Raw genomic sequence first — 27,908 nt, 5'->3', positions numbered from 1 at the left:
TATTTTTAATGAGGCCAAATTAAAAAGGTCAATTTAAAATACTAGATGTGTATTAACAGGCATGTCCTATCTACAGTAATCTGCTTGAGCCCAGGAGATCAAGGCTGCAGTGAGCTATGGCTGTACCACTGCAAGCCAGCCTGGGCAACAGAGTGAGATCCTGTCTCAAAAAATACATCTAGATAGGTATCTATATATGTTTGTATATATCTATCTCCCTATATCTATATCTATCTATCTATCTATCTACCTATATATCCTGATTTCCTGCATACATTAATAATGTACTTGTAATTTCCAAGTACATTTTTGGAGTTCTCATAGTGTGTCAGGAGTTAACATATTTGCACACTAAATATAGCCATAAACACCATACTCACTCCCTCAAGATCCTTCTAAAAAAACAGGAATCCCTGATAACTTGACTGCCAAATTGTTCAATGCACACATCTGAAAATTGCTCAAAGCACTTCTTAAAAAGTACTTTTTTTAAAGGTGAGAAAAAGGAATTATTCTGCAAAACAGGTTTTTAGTAAGCTTGGAATCACTTGGTTCTATTATAACTAAAAGAGCTTCTCTATTTAAAAACAAGCCCCATTGTTTTAGAAAAGGAAAGTGAACTTTAAGATAAAGTTTCTTACCTACAATGTTTCCTGGCACAAAAACAACAACACTCATAATAATAGATCCAACCCAATATAGGCCAATGGTTCTATAAGTTTCCCTGTAACAACAACAACAAAAAAATCTTGACTTGGTATGTTTGTCTTAGAATACTAAGCAAAAAATGATCTTCAATATTATTTTGTATTCAAACTAGTAAAGTACATCAATCAAAACATATTGAATTGAGAGGAATAAATCAAACACAAGGAGCCCTGGTTATGTAACTTCATTGCCATGTGATATACTATAGAACCTTCTTCGTGTCCTTTTAAATAGGAAATTACGCCTGCTATGTCTTCTGTTAAACTACAACATGATCATCCCTGCCACAGGACTCCTGCATTTCCCTATTGTGTGTGAAACTCAACAGCATGAAAGGAAAAAGAAAGTTGAAAGAAGAAATGAAATTGGATCCATATTTTTAATCATTATAAGTATGAGTTATACTTACAATGATAATGTTAAATGGACTTTTTCTGGGGTCACAGAATTTTGGCCAAAGCCCCAAAGGTGAAGACAAGTGACATGTACCCCATGTTGCAAAGGAGCTGCTAGACATATACCCCAAATCTTCAATGCTGACAAAAACTTCCTTCAGGCCGAGCATGGTGGCTCATGCCTGTAATCCCAGCACTTTGAGAAGCTGAGGTGGGCAGATCACTTGAGGTCAGGAGTTTGAAACCAGCCTGGCCAACATGGTGAAACGCCATCTCTACTAAAAGTACAAAAAAAAAAAAAAAATTAGCTGGGCATGGTGGCATGCACCTGTAATTCCAGCTACTTGGGAGGCTGAGGCAGGAGAAATGGTTGAACCTGGGAGGCAGAGGTTACAGCGAGCCAAGATCGCACCACTGCACTCCAGCCTGGGTGACAGAGCGAGACTCCGTCTCAAAATAAAAAAAAAAAGTTCCTTCAATTGATAACCCCAATAACCCAAACTCCACACTATGTAACAGGCTATGAGAAATTCAAAAGGAAATTCTCTGAAGGGAAACGAGAATACTGTGTGCGTCCTGCCCCACCCCCGCCCTCAAGCCAAATGTAACCAGACCCCAAGAGGCCCATTCATAATGACTGGGATTATAAGCAGGAGAACAGATAAGAATGAGCTGGAGCCGGGCACGGTGGTTCACGCCTGTAATCCCAGCACTTTGGGAGGCTGAGGCGGGCAGATCACCAGAGGTCAGGAGTTTGAGACCAGCCTGGCCAACATGGTGAAAAAAATGTTTAGATTTGTGTACTAAAAATACAAAATTTGCGGGTATAGTGACACACGCCTGTAGTCCCAGCTGAGGCCTGAGAATCGCTTGAACCTGGGAGGCGGAGATTGCAGTGAGCTGAGATTGTGCCATTGCACTCCAGCCTGTCTCAAAAAAAAAAAAAAAAAAAAAGAATTAGCTGGAGCTGACCTTGAGTGCATGTTGGGAGTGAGGGAGATACTTGGGTAAACTACATTTCAACCTTGTATGGGGCAAGAATGCATGACTTTCTGTAACCCAGAAGCAAGTGGAGGCCTGAGAAGATGGCCGGACTTGAAATGTTTTGAAAAGACCCCTCCCCAAAGGGTGTACCTTCTGGGTTACAGGGGCCCCAGCAGAAAAAAAGCTGTGGGTGTGCCACCATGGGCAGAAATTCAGCCCAAGAGCACGTCGTTCACTTCAGGGATTAGTGCAATGCAGAAGCTCCTGTGGTTGGGGTCTCTAAAGAACTCACATGTGTGCCTCCCAAGACCAAGCTAGCATATCATGATGGGGGTACCAATACCCAAAAACCAGCACCTTTCACATCAGACTCGGCTCCTGTTCCTTTAATCCCTTGTACATACACATCCACTGCCAAGGGGCCAGCCGCAGAGTGAGACAGGAGGAGTGAACGGACAAGCCATGTAGCCAAGCCTTAGTGCGAGCCAAGCCGCAGAGCTGTGCCTGATCTGGGGAAGGACAGAAGCTTTGAACCGAAATGAGATTGCTGTTTGGAAATTTTGAAGTTTTGAAATGAAGTTTAAGATGTGCTTAGCTTTAATTGCTGAAAATAAAAATTATTCTTGTAAGACAACATAATCAGAAAGCTTAAAGGGTCTGCCCGAGCTGTCACCATGCTAGGGAGCAATTCAGAAGGACATATTCAAAAGGCAGTGGTACAAGGAGGATAAAGCCACGTCTGACGTGCACCCATGGAACTTATATTCATGTCCAGTATACCTGCTTGTGTATTTGCCTCTATGCATAACGTTTCCTTACATACCCGCTTATCGGTTGCTAAGGTGGCAAAGGCACACACCAGGTGAACTGACTTACTCCCATGCTATGGCTGCCACCATCACCAGGTACATCAGATAATGAGCAGAGCCATCCCAGTAGCAGATCATGTGCCCATATGCGGTGTTCAGATACGGTTCACCCTAAAGAAAGCATTAAAAAGAAGTCCACTTTAAATAAGACCTGTAAATGCAGAACATCAGACCTGTATTGCAAGTAAAATAAAACAGCAGAACTAACTTGTGTTCATCTGCTAAGATGAAACTATTTCTTCAAAATTGGTAGGAACATGAAAATACAACTTTACGCTGGAGCTGCCAAAACCAGGGTCTGGCCACAGAGGATGGAATTAGAGAATGCCTGGCCAATTGGCCCATGATGCATCAACATAGGTTTGTACTGTGATGCGAAGGCAGATGGCATGATAGGCAATCCTGGCTGTATGGCAAACTCATGGAGACCAAGCCAAATCTTTGACACAAGGTGCTTGGCAGTGACCAGAGAGGTGGCCAGGGATGACCCTGCTTTCCAGAACCAGTGGCTGGCCTTAATAATTCATGCTGATCCCGTGGCTTGCTGGGCTGGGCATGGCACAACACTCATTCCCCACATACTGACACATAGGCAGGCAGGCACCGAACTCGGAGCTTCACACCCAACCCCTCCTTCTACCTTCCCAACAACCCAGTGGGATGGACAGGATTGAGTCCATTTTACAGATGAGGAAACAGATGCTCTGAGATTACAAGACTTTCCTAAGGTCACGTAGCTAGTATACCTAGCAGAGACCAAGAAGAGCCATACTTCTCCTGGGCAAATGTTAATGTTATGAACACAAGATTATATGACGAACTACATTTCCCTTTTCTAGGTGGTTACATTTCCAGGTGGCTTCTAGAAAATCACTGTCATCAATTTTCCGTGCATTTTTACTGTTGTTTTGGCCCCACCTTGTTTTCCTTTCCTCTTTCTCCCACGTTCATGCTGTCCTGGCTTGTTTCACGCTGTAAGATGCCTTAAGTCCTTTCTACAACAAGGAAGAGTGCAGATCAACCAGCCCATCAATCAGCCAAGCAAGCAGGGCTTTCTCTTAAGCTTCATGCTCCCCTGGGGCAAGGACTGCTCTGTCATCTCTCCCACAGATCAAATCAAATTAAAATCAGAGAAGCAGGAAACAGAATCAAGGTTCTGCTTCTACACCCATGCCAGGCCCACGTCCCTTCTCTTGGACTTGCTCTGACTGAAGAATACATCCGATTTATGGTTTCAGACTTCCATTGCTAACACACCTGGCTCTCTGAGCCAGTGCTGGCCTCTCCTGGTAGCTTGATGAGCATCTTTAACTGCATGGTGCACAGGCCACAGGTCCTTTCAACTCGCCTGAACTCTTAATTCATCAGCTTCTCCCCTCAACCAGCCTTCCATCTTGCCTCTCTCTCTCTTGCTCTCTCTGTATGTGTGTGTGTGTGTGTGTGTGTGTGTGTGTGTGTACGTACAGAGACAGGGTCTCACTCTGTCACCCGGTCTAGAGTGCAGTGGTGATCATTGCTCACTGCAGTCTCAACTCCTGGCGTCAAGCGATCCTCCCGCCTTTGTCTTCCAAAGCACTGAGATTACAGGCATGAGCCACCAGGCCAGCCATGGCCTCTCTATATTAATGGTGAAACCATTCGGCTTACCAAGGTCAAAACCACATGGTCATTTTTTCATTCCTCATTCTCCTATGCAGTCTCTCAGCAAATCTATCAACTTTATTGCTACGATGTCACCCCGGCAATTCTCCCTCTTCTTCACAGCATTAGGTCTAGCCCTCAGTGTCCCTCACTGGACCACAGCTATGTTCCCAAATGGTCTCCCTACCTTTGTCCCCTCCTTCCAACCCATGACACTCCTCCTGCCAGATAAAGATTCTCAAGGCCTGGCTCTTGGCATGTTGTTCCTCTACTCTAAAACTCCCCAAAACTTGTCACAGCCTGCTGGACCAAGCCCCATCTCCTCTCTATCACAGCTGGGTCCCCAGAGCCTGGCCCTGCAGACCTTGCCACCACAGTTACACCCCAGTCCCCCTTCTGATACCCCGTCTGCCCCAATGCTTACCACCCTTGCCAACTCAGCCTCCAGCCCTCTCGTCAGCCGCCTCCTTCCTAAAACCTCCCTCCTCTGGGCTCCATGGCCCCCACTCTCCAGGTTTTCCTTCTGCCTCTTGGCCTGCCCCCCATGGTCCACTTCAGGGGCTTCTCTTCTTCTGGCCATGGTCTCTAAAGTCCCAAGCTCAGCCCTTTTCTCTCTCTACCTTCTCATAGGCAAGCCCTTCTCCTCTCAGACATTCAGGTACCAACTGCACTCCGATGGCCCGTGACTCTCTCTTCCAGGACTGCTCCTCAGAGCTCAAGACCTGCAAAGCCCTGCCAGCATCTGAAACTCCACCTCCCCATAGAAACTCAGCCTCATCCTTGCAGATTGGTGCCCCAGGGAGAGGCACATGCTCTTTCTCCTCTCCAAGCCTTTGCCCAAGCTGTCCCTTCTCTCCGGAATTCCCCCTACCTCCCTGGTCCATCTGGAAATGTCCATCTTCCACTGCCATGACCATTTTTAAAATGCTACAGCAGTGTCACCAACTCAATAAGCCTTCCCCGACTGCACCCAGACTTAATTCCTCCTCTGAGTACTTCTGTGCCTGGAGTGAGTCTCTCACTGTGCCTGGGACAATTCCATCTCCCCACCCTTTCAGGCAGGGAGCTCCCAGGGGGCAGGGAGCAGGTCTTCTGACCACAGAGTCCCCTTCAACAAATGTCTGCAGAAATAAATTCCTCCTGTCATCCCTCTCTGGTGTAAAAACAGCAGCATTCTTCCAAATTCCAAAGCAGGAATCAGGACACTGTCTTAGGCCTCATCCTTCCCATCACTCCCAATTTGTCCCCAAGTCTTATTCATTCCAGCCACTCCGATTCTCTAAAGTTCATCCCTCTCTCTACTTCCCATGCGCTGCCTCCATCCAGCCACGTTTATGCCCCTGCTGGTCCCGAGGAAGCCTCCTGACTGGTGCCCCAGCTCATGGCACGGACCCTTCCCTGCAAGCCCATCCTTCCCAGAGCTGCCTGTATTCTTCACTGACTTAAAATCTTCCCTCACAGACAGGATAAAACCCAAACTCCCACAGCGTACATACAAAGCTCCCCATTATCTGAACATGGATGAAGAATCTGCTTTGAGCCCTTTTCCTCATTTCCTGTGTCACCTTGAATAAGTCACTTAACCTCTCTGGGGCTGGGTTCAGCCCACCATAAAATAAGAAAATAGGACTAGCTCTCTCGAGTACCAGGTAGTATCAAAGCTATGATTTGGGCAGCATGGTGGAGAGTGCAAGCCATCACAATCAAATGACTTCATCAAGTGCCTCTGTGTTGGGTACTTTACAAATTTAAGACTGACTTGGGGTTTCTGAGATAGTCATGTATTAACAGACACATAAATACTAAATCCATTTAAGGTACCTTATTTATATTAAATACAGATAAAGGGGAAAAGCAGGTCATGTGTGCGGTCATGAGTGAGAGAAGCCGTGAGAGCTGAATGTTGGAGAGAATTGCCTCTCGTGATCTAACCGTCCTTTCTGCTCCACTTTCCATGTGACTAAGCGACCTAAGGCTATTATAGGAAATGAAAGCCTGCGTAGCGTACCTGTTCACACTAAATGAGAGGATTTCTGTCTCTGAGTAATGTGATCTGGGTTGTGGCCTTTTGGTTGAAACCTCATAATCACTAAGTGATCCCATACCTCTCTCAAGTAGTGTGTCATGAACCCGTCAATGATTCCATCTTGCTCCAGTCCTATGATGAGGTTCACCACGCTGGTAAATCCAAAAACTGCATACACTAGAGCAAAGAAAGCAGCAGTTTAAAAAGCAATAGCTCAGGAGACAATTACTACAAGCTTGGCATCAGCTAATAATAATGGAATGTTTTTCATGTTTTCCAGAAGATGCTGTGGACAATTATCGAGATAGACTAACAGAATACCCCTTCTACACACCCAGCTGGACCTCCACCTGTGTTCGCAGCTCTCCCCATCCCTGCCTAAGTACTCTCATCAAGGGAACACTCATCACAGGAGTGGAGAATGATGGTCACTGCCGGCTCAGTCACAGAAGATTCTAGCAGGCCAACTCCACCCATCCTCCACTCCCCTACAAGTGGCTGCCCAGAATCAAACCCACATCCCACATGGGCAGTGGGAGCAAAGCCAGTAACTGAGTGGCCAAGGAAGCATAGAAGTGACCACTAAGTTTAAGACAATGATTCAGGCTGGGCATGGTGGCTCAAGTCTGTAATCCCAGCACTTTGGGAGGCTGAAGCAGGCAGATCACCTGAGGTCAGGAGTTCAAGACCAGCCTGGCCAACATATTGAAACCCCGTCTCTACTAAAAATACAAAAATTTTCTGGGTGTGGTGGTGCACGCCTGTAATCCCAGCTACTCCAGAGGCTGAGACAAGTGAATTGCTTGAACCCAGGAGGCGGAGGTTGCAGTGAGCCGAGATCACACCACTGCACTCCAGCCTGGGCGACAGAACAAGACTCTGTCTCAAAAAAAAAAAAAGACAATGACTTGACGAAGTGATTCATCTCAATGATTCCCAAGCAGGCCACCTCACAGCGTGTCCAGTGTGGTTACCCTATTCCACATGGCGTATCCTAGAGACAGACAGGTGGCTGATGTGCAAGTGACAATGGCTTTCAGAAAAAAGACTAGTGATGTTAAAAATGAATACAAGAGGGTATAATTGAATATGACAGAAGGAAAGCTATACCTGTCAGAGAATCTTACCAGAGTTGTGAGCATCTCCTAAATGGGCTTAAAACTACTAGCACAAATAACTAAGAAATAATACTTTTTAAACAGCAGGTGATCAAATTTAGTGCATGTTAGTTTGTCAAAGCTGCATTTTCAAGTTGTAACAGATTGGTGCCTTAGACTATGGGATGGACATGGACAGAAGAAAAATCTGATGGTGAATATAAGAAAAGCTGTGAAAAAAGAAATGGAGAGGAGTGTGGGGATGGTTAATTCACAGAGAAGGGAAGCCGGCCTTGCCTGGAGTCAGCAGCCAGGAGTCCAGCATTCACATTCTCCCCAGAAGGAACAAAAGGCCACATGTGCCCTGTTTTGCAGATGTGCCTTCCCCACGCCTCCATGGGGGCCTTTGGCCCAGTTCTCATTGGCAGTGTCACTTCCTGATACTCATTTTCCAGAAGCCTCCCAGGTGATTAGCCATCATATGTCTCCAAGAAAGGAAGTGTTCGGCACATAATCTGCCAATGATTGCTGATGACAACACAAGTGTCAGACACTGTGTTAGCAATGACAAGGACATGGTCTCTGCCTTCTAGTACGTGAGGAGTCTGGCCTTGAGCCTCACCCTGAGGCTGCAGTGTACTCAAAGTTGTAACAGACCAGGACAGAGGGCTGAGGGTACAGGAGAAAGGGTGCCCAGCCTTGAAGAGTCAGGAGAGACATCAGTACAGTTAATACAGGCTCCATGGAGTGGGGAGGAACAGGAGGGACAGACAGCAGCAGGAAACTCATCTGGAAAGGTGTGCAAGGGTCAGAGCACAGGCTAGTGGAGAGAGCCAGGAAAAGGCATGTGGGCCTTGAAAGCAGACGGACCCAGCTCATCTAATGACTGGCTGTAAAACCTTAGGCAAATTACATCATTTCTGAAGCTTCAGAGCTTCTTATATGTGGATTGGGAGAAACTAGTTACTCACAATTCTTCCTTCCCACCCCACCTTTCCCAAGGCCCACTGTAGGCAGAGAATGCTCCCTATGCTGTTGCTGATGGGCTTGGCCCTATGCCTCATCTCAGCCATTGGAATATGGGTGGGAGTAAGATGGGGCAGCTCCAAGCCAAGGCCTTAAGAGCCACCACTTTCTTCCTTCTAGCCCCACTGTGCCTCTGTATCTGCCATGAGAAGGGCATGCCTGGGAGCTGCTGGTCCAAGAACAAGGAGTCAGAGAACAGCCCTGAAATCAACCCACAGCCTGATGCAGAGTGGCCCCAACCCACAGACCTGTGAGCAAGAAAAATAAATGTTTGTTGCTGTAGGACTTGGGGTGCATTTGATATGCAGCATTACTGAAGCAGAAACTACAGAACAAAATGCCCAGCAAGGTACCTGGCACAGGAAGTGCTCAAAGGCCGGTAGCAGCTTGGCTGGGGCAGCATGCATGATGGAAGGGCATGGGCTTTAGGGGTCAACAGCCACACGACCTTTGCCACATTTCTTAGCATCTCCAAGCCAGCTGCTTCACTTTCAAGTGGAGGGATGGTGAGGATTAGGTGAAAGCCTGCTGCTAAAGTGCTCAGGGTCATACAAGGTGCACTATAGGTGCTTGTCTCTATGGCAGGTTCCATTATTTTCCTCTTCATGCATATGTGCAGACCCAGACACCACACAGTTAAGTTCTGCACTAAGTGGGGGGGACTGCTAGTAGCAGGCTGAAGACAGGAAGCCCAGGAAGGAGCTAGCATGAGAGTCGAGGTCAGAGGTCAGAGGTCAAAGCATGCTGGGGTTGGCAGGGTGCCCTGCCTGGCCTGGCAGTAACTCTCCACCGGGATGCCACCTGGGAGAGGGTGGAGTCCACTGCCTGAGAGGCAATAGCCAGAGGCGAGGGCCAGATTGTCCTGAAACACCCCTACACTTGCAGCCACTGTTACCAAAGGGCTCAGAGTATTCACAACCAAGGAGGAATATGTGACTGAGGCTGAAAGTATTGTGTTATTAATCAGATACAAAAGATTTCCCTTTGTGGAGACGTACCATAGAACAGTGGGTCCCGGGGTGGTTTTCTTTTGACGAGGACACGAGCCAGCAGTGCTACCAGGAACAGGATGAGGGCAGCAACCCCTACAATAGTCCAGGAACTGCAACGACCAGAACAGGGAGGTGGTCACTATCAAAATAAACACATTGGTGCCTGGAATTTCCTGACTATTGAATGCATTCCCTCCTAGTGCTGCATAATTCATCCATAATTCTGCCTCTGCCTGCAGCTCCCAGCACTGTAGAGTTAGTGAAGTTTATCTGCAGCTCTTTGGCCCATCTGGGCTGCAGCCCATGACTTTCAGGGACCGAAGCCATCAGGTCCTCCTCATTCTCCTCTTATCCTGTCTCATGTGCACAGATGACACGTCTGGAGCTCCCTCTGCCTCACCCCACCCTGCTGCACCTATGGCCACTGCCCCACTGCCTCCACTTACACGTTCCTCTAACCCCTGCTCCCTAGCAGCTGACAGGCCTCACCACTGACTCTGCCACCTCCCTCAGGGCCAGTCAGAAACCCTCAGACTGAGCTCCAAGGAATATATAGGCATTACAACTAAACATGCCTTCCAGGGGACAAGAAAGACCTTATGTTATGTGTATAGTCAAATGGGCCAGAGAATGAGGCCAGGAAATCCATGGAGAAGGAGTCTGGACTAGACCTGAGGCCAGAATGAAGATAGCCCAACACCCCAGAACCAGGGCCAACAGACCAGCATCCAACCCCAAACCATAGAAACCAAGGTGAAGCTTAGTTGAGTACATCCCCTGGATGTTCTACAGGAAAGGGAGTGGCACCAAGGACAGCAGGGGCCAAAGCCGCTACTCAGTGGGGCAGCGATAGGGCACGAGGCTTGGTAGAGTTATCAGTCAGGAAACCGGGATCCTGGTACCCATTCTGTTGCTAACTGTGTCACCCTAGGAAAGTCACATCATTGCATCTATCTGTTTATTAATTAATTCAAAAACATAGCAAGCAAAAAAATGTATTCTGCACCCCTATGTGGTAGCCATTGTTGCAGGCCCTAGGAGACTGGATAAATAAGAGAAGTCCCTGCCTACATGGAGGAACCTATCTCAATGGACTCTGAGCTCTACCCACTAGGAGTTCTCCTGCAGTCCAACAGCAATACTCTCCCTCTCACACCTCCAGCACTGACAGGGCTTCCAATTCTAGACAAAATACTACCTGGCCCACTCCAATGGCCTGCTACACCAGGACCTCTTCAGATTGGAGCAGCTACAAGCACCACTCCTCAACTGAGACCCCTCCACACCACCACAGCCCAACATCGGGACCTTTGGATAACTATCACCGTCCCCTAGGAGAGAGAAAGATAAGAATAGAAGGAGGGAGGGAAGGGGGGAACAAATAGACGATGAGTGGATGGATAGATGGATGGATGATGGGTGAATGGTTGGATGGATGATGGATGAAAGGATGGATAGATGATGGATGAATGGATAGATGATGGATGAATGGATGGATGGATGATGGGTGAATGGGTGGATGATGGGTGAATAGATGGATGGATGATGGATGAATTGATGGATGATGGAGGATGATGGATAAATGGATGGATGGATGATGGATGAATTGATGGATGATGGAGGATGATGGATAAATGGATGGATAGATGATGATGAGTGGATGGATGGAGTATGGGTGAATGTATGGAGGATGGATGGATAAATGATAGATGGATCAATTCTATGATAAGAATGAGGCCGGGCGCAGTGGCTCACACCTGTAATCCAAGCACTTTGGGAGGTCGAGGCGGGTGGATCACCCGAGGTCAGGAGTTGGAGACCAGCCTGGCCAACATGGTGAAACCCCGTCTCTACTAAAAATACAAAAAATTAGCCAGGCGAGGTGGCGGATGCCTGTAATCCCCGCTACTTGGGAGGCTGAGGCAGTAGAATTGCTTGAACCTGGGGGTTGGAGGCTGCAGTGAGCCAAGATTGCACCACTGCAGTCCCGCTTGGATGACAGAGCAAGAGTCCGTCTCAAAAAATAATAACAATTAATTACATTTTTTAAAAAAGAATGAGGGTGGCTGTTTCAATGTCCAGGTGAGAAACTGAAAAATAGGAGGTTTCTGGTGATTGCACTTCAGTGGTTGCTCCAGGCTCCTCCTGTGGGGATGAGCTGAAGAAGGAGGAAGCCAGTGTGGGTCAAGAGTATGATGCTGGGCTGAAGAATCCCATGAGGGAAGAGGTGGGTGTGCTGGGTCAGCTGACAGGCATTTTAATGGTGAACAGCCTGAGGCAGGTGGTGGTCAGGTGACAACTCCAGTCTTCACTCCTACCAAGGGCCTGCACTCACTGCCAGCAGGATCGCGTGGTTGGTGCTCTTCTGGAGCAGGACAGAGCAGTGTGAACTGGTTCACAGCGTCCTCTCATGCTCTTAGCTCCAGGAGAGGAGGGAAGAATGAAGGGAAACTAGGGCAGCAGATTGTCTCTGACTCTTGGCACTGTCCCCAGAGACCCTCCTACAACAGCCAAGTGCAGGACCTGCTCACCACAGGAAGAAACAGGTCCTGCAGGGACTCAGGGACAGGTAAGGGCTGCGACTAACCCCAGGATGAGAAAGTTGCTAGTCTTGGGGGGTGGGAAGGGCTGCTGATGCCCTTCTATGAACAGACACCTACTGAGAGGGGACATGCAAGGATGAGTGTGAGCAGTGTGTCTCTCTCAGTGAGAGAGGGAGACAGAACACGCTCAATCCTTTCCTGACCTCTCAATCTAATTTTCTTTTTCTGGTTTTCAGAGTTGCATAAAAGGTTTGGTGGGAAGGAAACTCGATTCAACAAAGTCAAACATACCTGAGTGCCTACGATGCACACGGCGCTGGCCTGGGCAGGACAGTACAGAGGGGTGAGCTATAGCCGGGGCAGGTAAGTTCTTACCACAGGAAAGTAACTCTCGGGAGAAAGGTGCAAACAAGGGACTGAGGGAGCTCAAAGGAGAGAGAGGGAGGGTCTGCAGAAGGTAGAAGTGGCCATAAAGTCCAGGTGCGGCTTCAACAGTCTGCGATAGGAGGAAGGCAGCATCCCTGTCAGGGAGCAGCAGGAGTCCGGGCTAGAGGCTGGAGAGGAGGAGGAATGGTCAAGGAGCAAAGGCAGGCTGGTGCGGCAGGAGCACTAGTGCGTGGGCTGGGACTGGGGGGCCGAGGCCGAGAAACACGCAGCGGGGCTGGGCAGCGAGACTTGCACCGGAGCCTTTGCCACAGTCCAGGTCAGAAAGGGCCAGTGCCAGGGAGAACTGAAAGGAGGGAACAGACACTAGAGCCCCAGGACTTATGGGGAAGCAGACAGTAGGAGGAAGGGAGTGGAGAAAGAAGAGAGGAATCAAAGGCCACGGGGGTTTTAACCTGCAAGAGGACAGGAAGAATGGCTGACACTAATTATTCAAAATGCTGTAGTGCTTGCCAGTGCGCTCCATCATGCACAGCAATACATAGTTCAGTCTGTATTCAGTAAATGCCATCACCATCTTCCCAGTGGCTGAGGCCAAAACCTAGGGCTCATCCTCAAATCCTCTGCTGCCATGCAACCCTCTTCAGTAAGCCCCATCTGTTCACCTTCCAAAATACCTACTACGCCCATCCAATTCCTTCCCCTGCACTGCTCCATTTTCCTGCCCGACAGGCTCCATTCCCAGATCTTCCCATAGCTCAAGTGTTACCTCCTCCTAGAAGCCTTCCCTGGCCACCAGCCCCCTCCCCAGTCACCCTATTTTATTATCTTCATAGCATGTCACTATCGATGTATTAATGTTTGTTGATGTCTATCTCATTACCTGCCTCCACAGCCTCTTCTGGCTTGTTCATAGCTATGTCACCAACACTTGGAACAGTGCCAAACACACAGTAGGCACTCAGTATATCTTCACTGAACTACCCGTAATGCCATTTTTTGGAGCACAGGGTCCCCCATGCACTATATTGACAGGCATGTAATATTCGGTGGCCCAGAGCAGCTGCCTCCAGGGGATGCCTCCAGAGACTGGGCCAGACCAAGGGTAGACACTGCTGGTGCCTGGTGAGCACTCAGTGTGGGTGCTGCCTGTATCAGGCGGCCAGGCAGCTGGAGAGGAGGAAGTTACCACCCTATGTACAGACACTCCACGGCCTGACCAGCTGAAGGGGGTTTGCAGCCTACAGACTGATGCAATTTCCTTAGCACCAACAGCTGAGAGACATAGCAGGTTACTTCCTCCTCCCTCCAGACAGCAACCAACATCAGCAGGAACAGAGGCTGGCGCCTGTCCCAACACCCGGCGACCCTCAGGCCTTCAGCTGCCGGCTGCAGGTTAGTCCGTGATCCCTGCAGTGGAGTGGGAGGCAGGGCTTCGAACCCAAGCCCTGTCCCCCTCCATCAGCCCCACCCATTTCCTTCACATTGAAGTGTTCTGCCTCTGCTGCCTGTCCCCATCCTACCCCAGCGCAGGCACTGGGAAGCACTTCTCCATTCACAACGCCCCTTCACAAAGAGGTCTCGGTGGAACCTTACAATAGGACGCACACAAAGTCCACTTGACCGGAAAACCGAGGCCAGACCACACCGTCAGTGCCAAACACCGTCAGGCCAGACACCGTCAGTGCCAAAGCCAGGCCTAGAACCCACGTCTCTGCCTGTTGGTTCCGGGCTATTTCTGCTAGTCATTCACAACAGTTTCTAAAATTAATAAGAAATGATAAGTATGCGAAAGTCCATACATGGAAACGTTCCCGTGAGATGCAAAAAGAACAAGGCACAAACGAGCTGACACGGCCAGGTTCGTAGTGTCCGTGTTTGTTCCGCTCCCCACCGGCCCCTGGGCCCCTCCAGGGCAGGGGCATGGCCGTATTGACGCCTGTGACCCCGGGCACCTGGCGCGGTGCTGGCACCAACATCCCGAAATGCGCCAGCCTGGGCACCTCAGGGCCCGGCTCCAAGACCCGGCCCGTGCGACCCCTGGGGCGCCCCCCTAGTCTGGCCAGGCGCGGGGAGCCCCTGCGGCCACGAACCTCTGTCCCGCGGCGGACGGTCCCAGCCCCCTCGGAAAAGTTGCGAGGCTCCCGTCGCGGCGAGCCAACTCCCGCCGCCCCTCGGCGCGACCCCCGCCGCGCCGGCTCACTCACTCATGCTGGGCCGCCAGGTGGTTGAAGACATAGGTGACCGGGATGGCCGAGAGGGACAGCACGAAGACCCCGGTGGCCGCAGAGGCACTCATCGCAGCCGCCGCGCCGCTCGCCCTTCACCGCATCCCGCTGGGCGCCCCGCCCCAGCTTCCGGCGGCGCCCGCGCCCCCTTGGCGCTTGCCCTTCGAGGCGCCTCAGCCGCGCCCCCCGCGTGGCGCCCTCAGCGGCGTCCCCTCAGCGGTGTCTCCTCCGCGCGCCCTCCCAGCCCGCAGCCGTCCCCCGCGCCTGGCCCCGTCGCCCCAAGTGCGCAGGGCCGCGGTGCAGTCCCGGGAGGCGTCCTTGCAGTGCTCCTGCCAGGGGCGCCACGGCTCAGCGGCAAGCGCCCGGCGGCGCCGAGGGGCGGCGACACCCCCGCGCAGGGACAGGTGCCCCTGGCGGCGCGCGCTCCGAGGGAGGGCCCGGGGCACGGCCGGGAACCGGTCATCGAAGAGCTGGAGAGGCGCGGGGCTGAGCTGCGGTCCGGGAAAGGTGGAACCAGATCCGAGGGTGTCAGAGGAGGAAGGGCCCGCGGGATCGTCTATGGGGGAGCCCACGGCCCAGAAGTGGGAAAGGACAAAATGCCCCTGAAACCTCGGAACCTCTCCGCTCCAGTAGCCATCGGCGGGCTGCTGCACGGAGCCGGCATCCGGTTTTTAAACCTGGCTCTCCAGTCACCAGCTGTTGACTTTGGTCAAATTACTTAACCTCTCTGTCTTTTCCCTTATCTGGGAAATGGGGATAACACACTTCATAGTGTGACTGTGGGGTTAACTGAGTTCATACCTACGAAGCGCGTTATCCTGTGCTGCTCACTACACCACCTCCTGCGATTCTTTTTTTTTTTTTTTCTTTAATTGAAATGGACATAAATGCTGAGACTCTAAGAGACTAGAGCGCCATTCATTGCTATTCCAGGAAGCATTCCTGGAGGCCAGGTGCCCACCAGCCAGCCTGCATTGGGCCCTGCAGGGTACAAAGACTGGAAGATAAGCCTCTTCCTCTGAATGATAGATGCCTACGGGTATGGAAAATATTGTGTGTCAAGTGTTGTGGCTATCTGAAGGGCAGTGAGTTCCAGGAGAACAGCTCAAGCAACTGAGGGAGGTACCGGCATGTACTTACTGTCTTTACAACTTCCAGGGAATTTAAGAGACCATTTATGTGTTTTTGCTGTTGCCATTTGAGGGGTTTATTTTATTTATTTATTTATTTATTTATTTATTATTTTTATTTTTTTTTTTTTTTGAGACAGAGTCTCGCTCTGTCACCCAGGCTGGAGTGCAGTGGTGCAATCTTGGCTCACTGCAAGCTCCACCTCCCGGGGTTCACGCCATTCTGCCTCAGCCTCCAGAGTAGCTGGGACTACAGGTGCCCGCCACCGCGCCGGGCTAATTTTTTGTATTTTTAGTAGAGACGGGGTTTCACCGTGGTCTTGATCTCCTGACCTCGTGATCCGCCCGCCTCGGCCTCCCAAAGTGCTGGGATTACAGGCGTGAGCCACCGCGCCCAGCCTATTTTTATTTTTATTTTTTTAAGACAGGGTCTCACTCTGCAAACCAGGCTAGAGGCAGTGGAGAGATGAGGGCTCACTGCAGTCCCCACTTTCCCACGCCAAGCCATCCTCCCAGCTTAGCCTCCTTAGCTCCTGGGACTACAGTCTCGCACCACTTCTTTGTAGAGGCAGGGTCTCACTATGTTGCCCAAGCTGGTCTCAAACTCCTGGGCTCAAGTGATCCTCCCTCCTCGGCCTCCCAAAGTGCTGGGATTACAGGTGTGAGCCACCGCACCTAGCCTCTAAAAGACCATTTGGCTCATTTTAGACATGAGGAAAATGAGCTACGAGGAGGTATGGCCTGCTCCAGGGCCACTCCACTTTTCAAATGCCAGTTCTCCTAATCCTTCATCCTAGTTCTTCTTGAAGGCTTCTCCAGCTCTGAGTGCATAACGTTTAAGCCTTGGCCCACACTGTGACATATCCAAAGTTTCTCCAAGAGGTGTCCTCACCTGTCACCTGCACATCACCCTCTTCCACCCCTAACCTTCACCACTCTCCTTAAACTCCTACTTCCTCCCTGACAAGAGACACTTCCTCCTATACCTCTGAGCTCCCAGCCAGGCTCCCAAGCCAGCCCATCCCTTCCATCAACACCCAACCTTGTTGCATCAGTCTCAGAGCTGCTCCCTCAGAGCCCACAAGGGACCCAAGTGACATGGCAAAGTTTCAAGGTATTGTGATATACATATTGGGAATTACATGATTTTTTTGTTGACAACAGTTTCTCTTTTTTTTTTTTTTTTTTTTTTTTTTTTTTTTTTTTTTTTGAGATGGAGTCTCGCTCTGTCACCCAGGCTGGAGTGCAGTGGCGGGATCTCGGCTCACTGCAAGCTCCGCCTCCCGGGTTCACGCCATTCTCCTGCCTCAGCCTCCCAAGTAGCTGGGACTACAGGCGCCCGCCACTACGCCCGGCTAATTTTTTGTATTTTTAGTAGAGACGGGGTTTCACCGTTTTAGCCGGGATGGTCTCGATCTCCTGACCTCGTGATCCGCCCGCCTCGGCCTCCCAAAGTGCTGGGATTACAGGCGTGAGCCACCGCGCCCGGCCAGTTTCTCTCTTAATGCTGAAAATATGAGTGGTCAGAATGCTTGTAGTTGGGAAGAGTTTTTCGCAGGAACCTTCCCTGGCTTTTGGGATAAGTGAACCCCTCTGGCTGCCCTGGATCCTTCCGCTCAACCTAGACACAGGCTCAAGTAGCTTCCAATTTAGAAATCTGCTCCCTGAACCTGAGTGTCCTGGGTTTTTTTTGTTTGTTTGTTTTTTGTTTGTTTGTTTGTTTTTGAGACAAAGTCTCGCTCTTTCACTCAGGCTGGAGTGAAGTGGCACAATCTCAGCTCACTGCAACCTCTGCCCTGCCCCCCGCCGGGTTCAAGCAATTCTGCCTCAGCCTCCCAAGGAACTAGGATTACAGGTGCCCGCCACCATACCCGGCTAATTTTTGTATTTTTAGTATAGATGGGGTTTCATCATGTTGGCCGGGCTGGTCTCAAACTCCTGAACTCAGGTGATCCACCCGCCTCCATCTCCCAAAGTGCTGGGATTACAGGTGTGAACCACCACACCTGGCCCTGAGTGTCCTCTTTTGCCTACCATCTTCTCTTGTTTCTTTCTCAGACACACTTGGTTTTAATGGCCACATCTATGATGCTAGATCCCAAATAACAAGCCCTGACCTGTTATTCCCTTAGCATGGCTGCCTGGGCATCCCGGTGGCACCTCACAATGTCAAAACAGAATTCCTCATTTCCTCAAGACACACTCCTGCTTTATTTTATCTGGTGGCACCACAATTCGCCCACTCACCCAAGCCAGAAGCCTGGGAGCCATCAGTTCCCACCTCTCCGGAATTCCTTTTGTTACACAATTCTCCCAGTGTGACTTTCCAAATATCACTCAAGTCTGTTTGCTCCTCCCCATCCGCACCTCCTCTTAGTTTTGGTCTATACTGCCTCTCATCTAAACATGTCCTAGTCTCCTCCCTCTGATTCCTGCCTCTGACCTCAGTTGACTCAGCTGCTGTAGAAGGCCTTACCTGACCACCCTCCTGAACTTTCGCCTATCAAGCGCCCTGCTTTATTTGATTCAGAGTACTTTTACTATCTAAAATTATCTGGCTTACGCCTTTGTTTACTGGTCTGGATCTCTCCTCCATGATAATGGAAGCTCCTCGAGGTTGGGAACCTTCTCTGGCTCGTTCATTGTTCCATTCCCATCATCTAGATTAATGCCCAGTACATAGGAGGTGCTCAAGAAATATTTGCAAGCCAGGCACAGTGCTTCAGCCTGTAATCTCAGCACGTTGGGAGGCCGAGGCAGACAGATCACTTGAGGTCAGGAGTTTGAGACCAGCCTAGGCAACATGGTGAAACCCTATCTCTACTAAAAATACAAAAATTAGTCGGGCATGGTGATGTGTGCCTGTAGTCCCAGCTACTCAGAAGGCTGAGGCACAAGAATCACTTGAACCCAGGAGGCAGAGGTTGCAGTGAGCAGAGATCATGCCACTGCACTCCAGCGTGGGTGATAGAGCAAGACTCTGCCTCAAAAAAAAAAAAAAAAGAAAAAGAAAGAAATATTTGTTCAGTGATTGAATGCTCTAGATCATTATTGCTCAACAGAAATATACTGTGAGCCCAAATGTGAGCCGCATGTATTATTTTATTTTTATTTATTAATTTTTTTTCAAGACCTAATCTCACTCTGCTGCCCAGGCTAGAGCGCAGTGGTGCGATCTCGGCTCACTGCAGCCTCCGCCTCCCTGGTTCAAGCAATTCTCGTGCATCAGCCTCCCAAGTAACTGGGATTACAGGTGTGCGCCACCACACCCAGCTAATTTTTTGTATTTTTAGTGAGATGGGGTTTCTCTATGTTGCCCAGGCTGGTCTTGAATTCCTGACCTCAAGTGATCTGCCCAACTCGGCCTCCCAAAGTGCTGGGATTACAGGCGTGAGCCACCGCGCCCAGCCACATGTATAATTTTAAATATTCTTGTAGCCACATCAAAAAGTTTTAAAGAAACAGTAAAATTAATTTATAATATATTTTATTTAGCCCAGTATATCCAAAAGATTATCATTTCAACAAGTTATCAACATGAAATATATTAATGAGATAGTTTATAATCTTTTTCATTCTGAGTCTTCAAAATCCCATGTGTATTTGACATAGCACATCTCAACTCAGACTAGTCTTATTTCAAGTGCCCAACAGCCACATGTGGCTAGTGGCTTCTGTACTGGACATGGCAGCTCTAGACTTACCCCTCCTGTCATACTGACCTGGCTTCAGTTGTGCTCGCTACTATTGTAAAAATAGATATGATAATTACATCACTAATCAATTCATTTTATCAACAAACATCCTCAGACAGTCTGCTGTGTTTCCGTCATTATTCTAAGAAGTGAGCATACAAAGATGAATTACAAATTGCCCAAGAGGACCACAGACTAGTATGAGAAAGACATGTAAACAATTACCATATAATGCAATAAAAAATATATAAGCCAATTGCTATAGGAAACAGCAAATTTGGTCTGAAGGATCCAAGAAAAGCCTCAGAAGGAAGTGAGGCTTTAGACTAGCCTTGAAGAACAAGTAGAAGCTGGCCAAACAGACACAGAAGAGGTTGGGCTTTCCAGGCAACAGAGCCAAAACATGTTAAAGGCAGAAAGAAATGTGTGGGAGAGCTTGCCACTTTATGAAGTGCAAGTAATTTGCGCTGGTTGGAAATACTGGGATGTCGTGTGTGAGTGGGGCTGGCAGGAGGTGAAGATGGAGAGGGATCAGGGGCTCAATATCAGAAAAGATTATGAATCTTAAATTATTTGTATATGAGGCTGGGCATGGTGGCCAGTACTTTGGGAGGCTGAGGGGGGAGGATCACTTGAGGCCAGGAGTTGGAGACTAGCCTGGGCAACATAATGAGACCCCATCTTTACCCCCCCGCCAAAAAATTAGCCAGGTGTGGTGGCACACATCTATAGTCCCAGCTACTCTGGAGGCTGAGGTGGGAGGATTACTTGAGCCCAGGAGGTCGAGGCTGCAGTGAACCATGATTGTGCTACTGCATTCCAGCTTGGGCAACAGAATGAGACCTCATCTCTGAAAAATAAAAAATAAACCGTATAAGTGGGAGGAGGGATGGACTTGATCAGAGTAGCATCTTTAAAGCTCTGTCTGGTAGCTGGCATGGACCATGGTTTACAAGGAAGAGGGATAGGAGGCAGAAAGAACAATTAGGAGGCTCCTACAATTGTCCTGGCAAGAGAGGATGGGCCCTGAACCAAGGCAATGGCAGTGAGAGGGAAGAGGAGAAGAGGAGGACACAGGTGTGAAAGATCTAGATAGGAATTGGAGACGGCTGGGAGGAGGGCACTAGAGGTGATTTTGGTTGTGGACATGTGGGTTTTTCAGTACCCAGGGGCTCCCAGGAAGAGCTGTCAACTGTTTGGATACTCATCTGTGGCACCAAGAGAGGCACAAGCTACAGAGAGTTTGGGGGTCATTAGCAAGAGGTGGGGCTTAAAACAAAGGAAATGAATCAATGTCCCAGGAAAAGGAGAGAGCCAAAGAGAATGGTGAACAGAAGCCACTTCAGAGGGGTCGGTGAGCCTTGCCACCAGCAGAACAGCCATGGGCATCTGAACTCAATAACAGAAACATCCAACAGCCCAACACTGAGAGCTGCTCCCTTACAGCCCACAAGGGACCCAAGTGACATGGCAGTGTTTGAGGTATTGTGATGTGCGTATTGGAGACTACATGATTTTTGTTGACAAGTTTCTCTTAACGCTGAAAATATGAGTGGTCGGAAGGCTTGCAGTTGGGAAGAAGTTTTCAGTTTTACAGGAAACTTCCCTGGGTTTTGGGGTAAGTCATAAACCCAACAAATATAATCCGATTTTGTGACAATATAGTATTCTGTAGATTAAACAGTAATTCCATCAATTCTATCTCCTGTAATCCTCACAACAGCTGTCTGAAGAACATAGAGCCATTTATGGATGAAGAAACTGGGGCTGAAAGAAGTTAGATGACTTGCCAAATTCAAGTGTCTAAGAAGACACAGGGCAAACTTGAATTCACATCTTCTGACTTAAAGTAGCTAGACTCATGATATCACAGCTGACCCCCAGCAAAGCTCCATGCCCAGCACCTTAGACAATGGTGTTTGGACACGCTTTGATTTGATCATTTGACTCATTGCCCAGGAGATTAAGGTCTGAAGTTCTGCTCAGTGTAGGTCAATTTCAAAATCATTGTTTGAAAAAGGGTTGTATATGGCTTTTTAAAAAGGCATTCAGGCTGGGTGTGGTGGCTCACGCCTGTAACCCCAGCACTTTGGAAGGCCCAGGTGGGCAGATCAGTTGAGGTCAGGAGTTCGAGACCAGCCTGGCCAACATGGTGAAATCCTATCTCTACTAAAAATACAAATATTAGCTGGGCATGGTGGCACACACCCTGTAATCCCAGCTACTTGGGAGGCTGAGGCATGAAAATTGCTTGAACCCTGGAAGCCGAGGTTGCAGTGAGCCAAGATCATACCCACTGCACACCAAACTGGGCAACAGAGCAAGAAAGACTCCATCTCAAAAGAAAAAAAAAAGTCATTCAAACAATAAAGATGTTTTTTGATTTTTGTTTTCTGCTTTTTAAGGAGCATCAATCTTGCAAGCCATGAAGGCTAATATTGCAGCTGTGACGAAGCATCGAATTTGACTCCAAGCTTCCTGGAAGCAAAAATAGAAACATAGAGGCTGTACAATGCCAATTACCTGAGAAACACACAGTGTTTTGTAATGCAGATTCAAAATCACTGACTTAACTGACTAATCAGGAATTAAATGCAAAGCCCCCACCTTACCATGCCTGTTTCTGCCACAGAGGGGAAGTGAAAGCAGAACTTTGAGGAGCTTGGTCACATTGGAAGCAGGAACAATGGAAGAGTGGGGCTGGGCAGATTAATGATCTTCAGGAAAAGTTAAGTGGAAGTCAGCTTTCATGCTTTAGCCCCCAGCTCCTGAACATTCATTCTCTTCCCTTCATCACATGCTTCCATTCTCCTTTTTCAAAAAATCTTTTTGATAAAAGTTGTATTTGTGTACTCATGAAAGGCTACCCACTCTAGATGAATGTGCAAGAGGCAATTAAACAGATTGATCTATGGGGTGTATAGGGACAGAACAAATGATCTGAGAGAGACCAGGGCAAGGGTGATGTGCTTAGTGTGTAGGTCACTAGAATCCTCTCTGAAGAAGAAACCAGGGAGGGCCCAGCCCACCTGAAAAAAAACTCTGGAAGAATCCCTCGGTGCATGTATCTCCCTAAGTCTTTCCAGCAACCCCGAGTGCTGTGACTAGGGCTGCAATTATTAACGTGGGTTTGAAGGGGGGTGGGGGTAAAGGTGGCTGTGCGTCCAACCCCTAAACATGGTGCCAGGCATACAGCAGATGCACAATTAATGTTAACTGAGGAGGGGAAAGGAGAGATGAAGAAAGAAAACGGGGGAAAGGATGGAAGGAAATCGAGAGGGAAGGAAGGAGTTCTAAAGAAAAAGTGATATGAAAATAAAATGACAGGAGAGGTAAAGTTAGCATGTCAAATGTTTTTCAAAGGTCTTGTGCAGTTGCCAGAGGAGGTCTGCAATTTTGTCCTGGGTTTCCTAGCAACCAAAGCAAGGAGGGAAACATAATCAGTTGTAACATTCACAGTGTCCATAAGATAAAAACAGATCTGTTGCTCAGAAAAACTCTTCCCTGGCTCTTCTTAAAGGGAACACCATGTCATATAGTTTATCCTCAGCAACATTTCTGCAATAAATATAGAATCAAACTCTGAACAATTGTCTCCCAGAACATCCTCAAGGCAGGTGATTGGCATATTGTCAAGTGCCACTCAGGACACTCAAGTGGTCAAAACAATTACATACAGAAAAGCAACTTTCTGAAGTTCTGGCTTGTTTTCAGTGATACATTTTACAATATCTGGGAAAAGGGATGAAAATGCCTTCCTGGCACCCACACCATCATTTCTAGTCCAAGCCCAGGACAAACGTCACCAAATGATCACTGAACTTTTTCCCGTTGAGACTGGACGTTGCCTCATAATCCTTTCCAACCGTACTCATTAATAGGGTTCTTCTCCCATGCCAACTTGAATCTATCTGCCAGCTCTGATCAAAGGGAATTGGTGAATATCCTTCAAGCAATGCTCTATGAATATTATTTCATATAATAAAGCTTGAATACAAATGAGGCAAGAGGAAGTGTGCAGTTACAGTGGCTGGCAAGAAAGAAGAAATATTATGTATTGATAAGTAAGGATAAAATGTAATGGTTTGATAAGCAAAGAAATGGATAATTTGACATTCTGTATGGAAAAGGTGAATTAGAGTAAGAACTAAATCAAAACCCAGTGTTGTTGTAGTATCTAGACTGTTCCTGGGTATGTATCTCTCATACATACACATACATGCACACACACATTTTTTTTTTTCTTTTAGAGACAGGGTCTTGCTATGTTTACCAGGCTGACCTTGATCTCTTGGGCTCAAGCAATGCTCCTATCTCAGCCTCCTGAGTATCTGGGACTACAAGTGTGCACCACCAATCTCAGCTCTGTTTTATTTTTTAAAGAAGAAAAAACACAGTACTTGAAAACAGGAAAGGGTTCTACTAGTGAACCAGAAAATGTGAAGGATACATAGAATATTGTGCTGTTACTTTGGGTGCCCCTAATAAACAGCATCTCTCCTACCACTTGACTGTGAACTTGGCTATGTAGTTTGTTTTGGCCAGTGAGACATTAGGAAATGTAAGCAGAGGCTTATAAAACTGCTTGTACATTAGGGTTTAATCCTCTTAGAATGCACCTTCTTGGAACCTAAGCCACCATGCTGTCAGGAAGCTCAACCAGCCATGTAGAAAGGCTAACATGGAGAAGAACTAAGGTCCCTGGCTGACAACCTGAATTGAGATCCCAGCCAGTAGGTATCACTAAAAATTAGCCATGGGAGGATGTCATGAACCTTTCAACACCAAATAAAGCAAAACAACTGCATAATCAACCCACATGAGAAATGATACTTTTTTAAATGTTTTAAGCCACTAAATTTTGGGGTGGTTATGCAGCAGTAGATAACTGAAAAATACAAAACAGCAATGGAGAAAGAATAGAGGATTAAGACTGAAGCACCAGAATTCTTCCTAGGGGAGATAGGTCCAAGCTCAGAATCAACAAATGCAAAGAGTAGACGGAGACTTTGGATGATCATTCAGGAACAGCACTGAGAATAGCTCAGATAGTCAGCTCTTACCCTCTTCTGTGCATGAACATGTAGTAACTAGAAGCAATGGCTTTCACACTCAAGATTAATCAGGAAAACTGCTTTTTAAAGAAAGTGGGCAAACTTCCTAAGGAGTGTTTTTTGTTGTTTTAGAGACAGGGTCTTGCTCTGTCACCCAGGCTGGAGTACAGTTGTGCAGTCATAGCTCACTGCAGCTTCAGATTTCTGAGTTGAAGTGATCCTCCCACTTCAGCCTCCAGGGTCTTGGACTACAGACTTGCACCACCACACCTGGCTAATTTTTTGTAGAGACGAGATCTTGTTATGTTGCCCAGGGTGGCTCATGGAGTGTTTGAAGCGGGGTATAGGGCTTGAGAATGAAGTAGACCCCAGTTTGAAATACTAAAGAGATCTACCCCTCAGTGGAGGGTAAAGCCCACTTGAACTACTGTGAATGTCTCTAACCTGACTGTTTGCTTCTCCTTCAGACAACCTAAAAGGGTTTCTATCTTTTGATAGGCCCCACCTACTTACAAAGAACCCTCAGATGATTCTGTCAGCCAAGGAAGGGGCCTAACAGTGACTTACACATCTCTGCAAAGACACTCATGGAAACTACCATACTAATGAACATAGTCCTTTATTCATCAACGTAAACAGAAAACCAAAGATTGCAAATATATTAGGAAAACCAACAGCATGGAAGAGAAGATCCAAGTTGGACCAATAGAAAAATTGACCTTGGAGGAAACAGAGATAATTTAGGAAAGAAAGATTTTATAAAAATTGTGGTCACTATCTTCAGAATAATTTGAGAAGATGCTGCATTCAAGAACTGAGAAGAGGTGGCTATGGGAAAGGAACAAGCAAAGAACAAGAAAAGATTCTTGGGAATTAAAAGTGGGATTGCAATAGGGAACACTCAATAAGTGCGCCAAATAATAAATTGGATGCAGCGAAAGACCAAGCAGTTGATCTGGAATCAAGGAATCTCAGAATGTAGAGCAAGAAAAACAAAGAGACAGCAAACATAAGAGAGTGCCAAGGACAGACACAGAGATCCAGCATCTGTCTGATTAGGAAAGAACAGAGAAAATGAAAGAGAGAGAATACCCAAAGAAGTCACAGAACAACATTTTCTTAAGCTCAAGAAATATGTGAGTCTTTAAGACTGAAAGTGTTCACTGAACAAAATTAAGGTAAAAGGGTTAAACTCTTAGGCATGGTGGCTCATGCCTATAATCCCAGCACTTTGGGAGGCTAAGGCAGGAGGATCACTTGAGCCCAGAATTTCAAGACTAGCCTGGGCAATATGGTGAGACCCCATCTGTACAAAAAATTTAAAAATTAGCCAGGCGTGATGTCGCACACCTGTAGTCCCAGTTACTCAGAAGGCTGAGGTGGGAGGATCACTCAAATCTGGGAGGTGGAGGCTGCAGTGAACTATGATTGCACCACTGCACTCCAGCCTGGGGCAACACAGTGAGACCCTGCCTCAATAAAAAGAAAAAAATAAGATTAAACCTCCCTCACTAGCATTCTCAGTTCTCCTTACTCTATTTATTCCTTTTTTTGATAGCACTATATAATACTAGCACACTACATAATTGTCTTATGCATTATGCATATTATTTATGACCTGTCTCCCCTGCTAGAATGTAAGTTCCAGGAGGGCAGGAATCTTTGATTTGTTCCCTAATGAAGCCCAGCACCTTGAACAGTGCCTTGCACCCTGGAGCCATCAGTAAAGATACGTCAAATTGAATTAAAATCCAGACACATCTTGGTACAATTTCACAACTCCAAATATAAATGGGAAATCTTAAAATCTTGGGGATTTCCTAGAAAGAAAAAGAAACAGAACTTTCACCTGACATGAACAACATTGGATCCTGGACAACAATGAATAACATAACATCTTCATAGTTAGCAAGGAAGAAAAGCTTGGTACAATCTAAACCCTGCCGAAGTACCAGTTATTTGTAAAGGCAATCGTAGGGCATTTTCAGACATACAAGAACTTGGAACATTTACTGTTCATATTCCTTGGATGACAAAATTATTCAAACATATTTTCCAGCAAAAATTAAAGGAGGGTCCAAGAAAAAGGACAACATGGGATACAAGAAATTGAAACCCCAAAGAAGTGAAAGAAGCCAGCAAGAGATTAAGAGGATTCATCATTTTCAGATGCCCAAAAGGATTTCCTTGGACCAACATTTCAAATGGCATGAGGATTTACATTTATTAATATTCCCTGGCTCCAGTCATATTAATTGGTTCTTTTTTTAATGGGGGTTTTCCAGTAAAAAAAAACAAAAAACAAACAAACAAAAAAAAGAAAACCTGCTAGACAAATTCTAAAAGAGCTGTAACAATTGGTTATTTAGTTAATAATATTTACATAGTCACAAAGCTGAAATGCTATTTAAAAGTTTTTAATTTTTGAAACAATTATAGGCAAAACATAGAAAACTTACTTGGAGTTACAAAATAAAATGTAAATTTTATAAACGTTTACCCTGTAAGAACAGTAACTGACAAAAATTGAGGTGAGGGCAGGGGGTGAGCAGAAAATATGCTTCTTTTAAAAAAAAACAAAATTGAAATCCCCTCTGCAGTCCTGGTCCTCTCTCTCCATCTGTAGAAGCAATCACTCTCCTGAAATTGGGGCATGATCAACCCATATTTATATACTTTACCTATAAACAATATATAGTTATTTTATAAAAATTTAAAGTTTATGTAAATAATATCCTTACATGTTTTTTTCACTTAAGTTTTTGAAATCCACTGATTTTTATACATTTGGTCACTCATTTTCACTGTTAGAGTATTGACTATACCACAATTTTTCATTCCCCTCACTAATGGGCCACTGAGTTGTTTCACTACTCTAAACCACGTTGTAGTGAATATCCTTGTACTGTTCGCCTTGTGCACATGCTCAGGAGTTTCTCCAGGGCACCAATGCCTAAAAGTGAAATGGCCAGGTGCTGGGTGTGTGCACGTTATTTGGAGCCTCTTTATACTTGGTCGGTCCATCGCTTCTCTGTGATTTGGCTGAGATCAAGTGTGTACTTGATCAGTCCAGGACCAGCTCCAGCCGGTTCCTTTACTAACCTGCTGAGCTCTGAAAGCAAAGGCCCTTTAAGAG

The 27,908-nt window shown here is 47.2% G+C and overlaps 2 protein-coding genes, 1 long non-coding RNA gene and 1 pseudogene across 18 annotated transcripts in view, besides 2 other annotated features; 2 read left to right on the top strand and 2 right to left on the bottom strand.

Moving 5' to 3' along the window:
• The window catches only part of HDGFL3 (HDGF like 3), a 95,086-nt gene extending 85,179 nt beyond the window's left edge, over positions 1-9,907 (top strand). Inside the window, exons 6-7 of one of the 2 annotated variants that reach the window (XR_001751298.3) lie at positions 6,904-8,186; positions 8,867-9,031. Coding sequence is in view for 1 of the 2 variants with exons in the window: in XM_006720554.5 (XP_006720617.1) it covers positions 6,904-6,936 (33 nt within the window). In the remaining variant the exon portion in view is untranslated. Of the gene's footprint in view, positions 1-6,903 lie in introns of both variants that reach the window. The other variant, XM_006720554.5, reaches the window with a different exon arrangement.
• Positions 1-15,000, bottom strand: part of TM6SF1 (transmembrane 6 superfamily member 1) — a 29,764-nt gene extending 14,764 nt beyond the window's left edge. For 8 of the 15 annotated variants that reach the window (NR_148560.2, XR_931848.3, XR_007064460.1 and 5 more), the window contains exons 1-5: positions 14,873-15,000; positions 9,745-9,848; positions 6,703-6,800; positions 2,964-3,067; positions 642-724 (exon numbers count right to left, since the gene is read on the bottom strand). Coding sequence is in view for 11 of the 15 variants with exons in the window: in NM_001353878.2 (NP_001340807.1) it covers positions 642-724; positions 2,964-3,067; positions 6,703-6,800; positions 9,745-9,848; positions 14,873-14,964 (481 nt within the window). In the remaining 4 variants the exon portion in view is untranslated. Of the gene's footprint in view, positions 1-641; positions 725-2,910; positions 3,068-6,702; positions 6,801-9,744; positions 9,849-14,758 lie in introns of all 15 variants that reach the window. The other 7 variants (NM_001353879.2, NM_001353880.2, NM_001353882.2 and 4 more) reach the window with 6 other exon arrangements.
• Positions 14,943-15,062: a silencer, noted in NCBI's record as "silent region_6761". NCBI's record gives its function as "represses an Ori minimal core promoter by ATAC-STARR-seq in GM12878 lymphoblastoid cells {active_cell/tissue: GM12878}" and the evidence as "EXISTENCE:reporter gene assay evidence [ECO:0000049][PMID:35858748]".
• Positions 15,093-15,372: a silencer, noted in NCBI's record as "silent region_6760". NCBI's record gives its function as "represses an Ori minimal core promoter by ATAC-STARR-seq in GM12878 lymphoblastoid cells {active_cell/tissue: GM12878}" and the evidence as "EXISTENCE:reporter gene assay evidence [ECO:0000049][PMID:35858748]".
• LOC124903543 (uncharacterized) lies at positions 20,520-27,269 on the top strand. Its single transcript, XR_007064743.1, has 2 exons — positions 20,520-21,336; positions 21,442-27,269. It is a non-coding gene; the product is annotated as an uncharacterized LOC124903543 (long non-coding RNA).
• Positions 27,045-27,131, bottom strand: LOC124903588 (uncharacterized; annotated as a pseudogene).
• Positions 27,270-27,908: the final 639 nt, after the last annotated feature.

The sequence above is a fragment of the Homo sapiens genome, chromosome 15 (genome assembly GCF_000001405.40).
Source record: "Homo sapiens chromosome 15, GRCh38.p14 Primary Assembly".
Lineage (NCBI taxonomy): Eukaryota > Metazoa > Chordata > Mammalia > Primates > Hominidae > Homo > Homo sapiens.
This window is presented reverse-complemented; position numbering and strand designations above follow the sequence as displayed.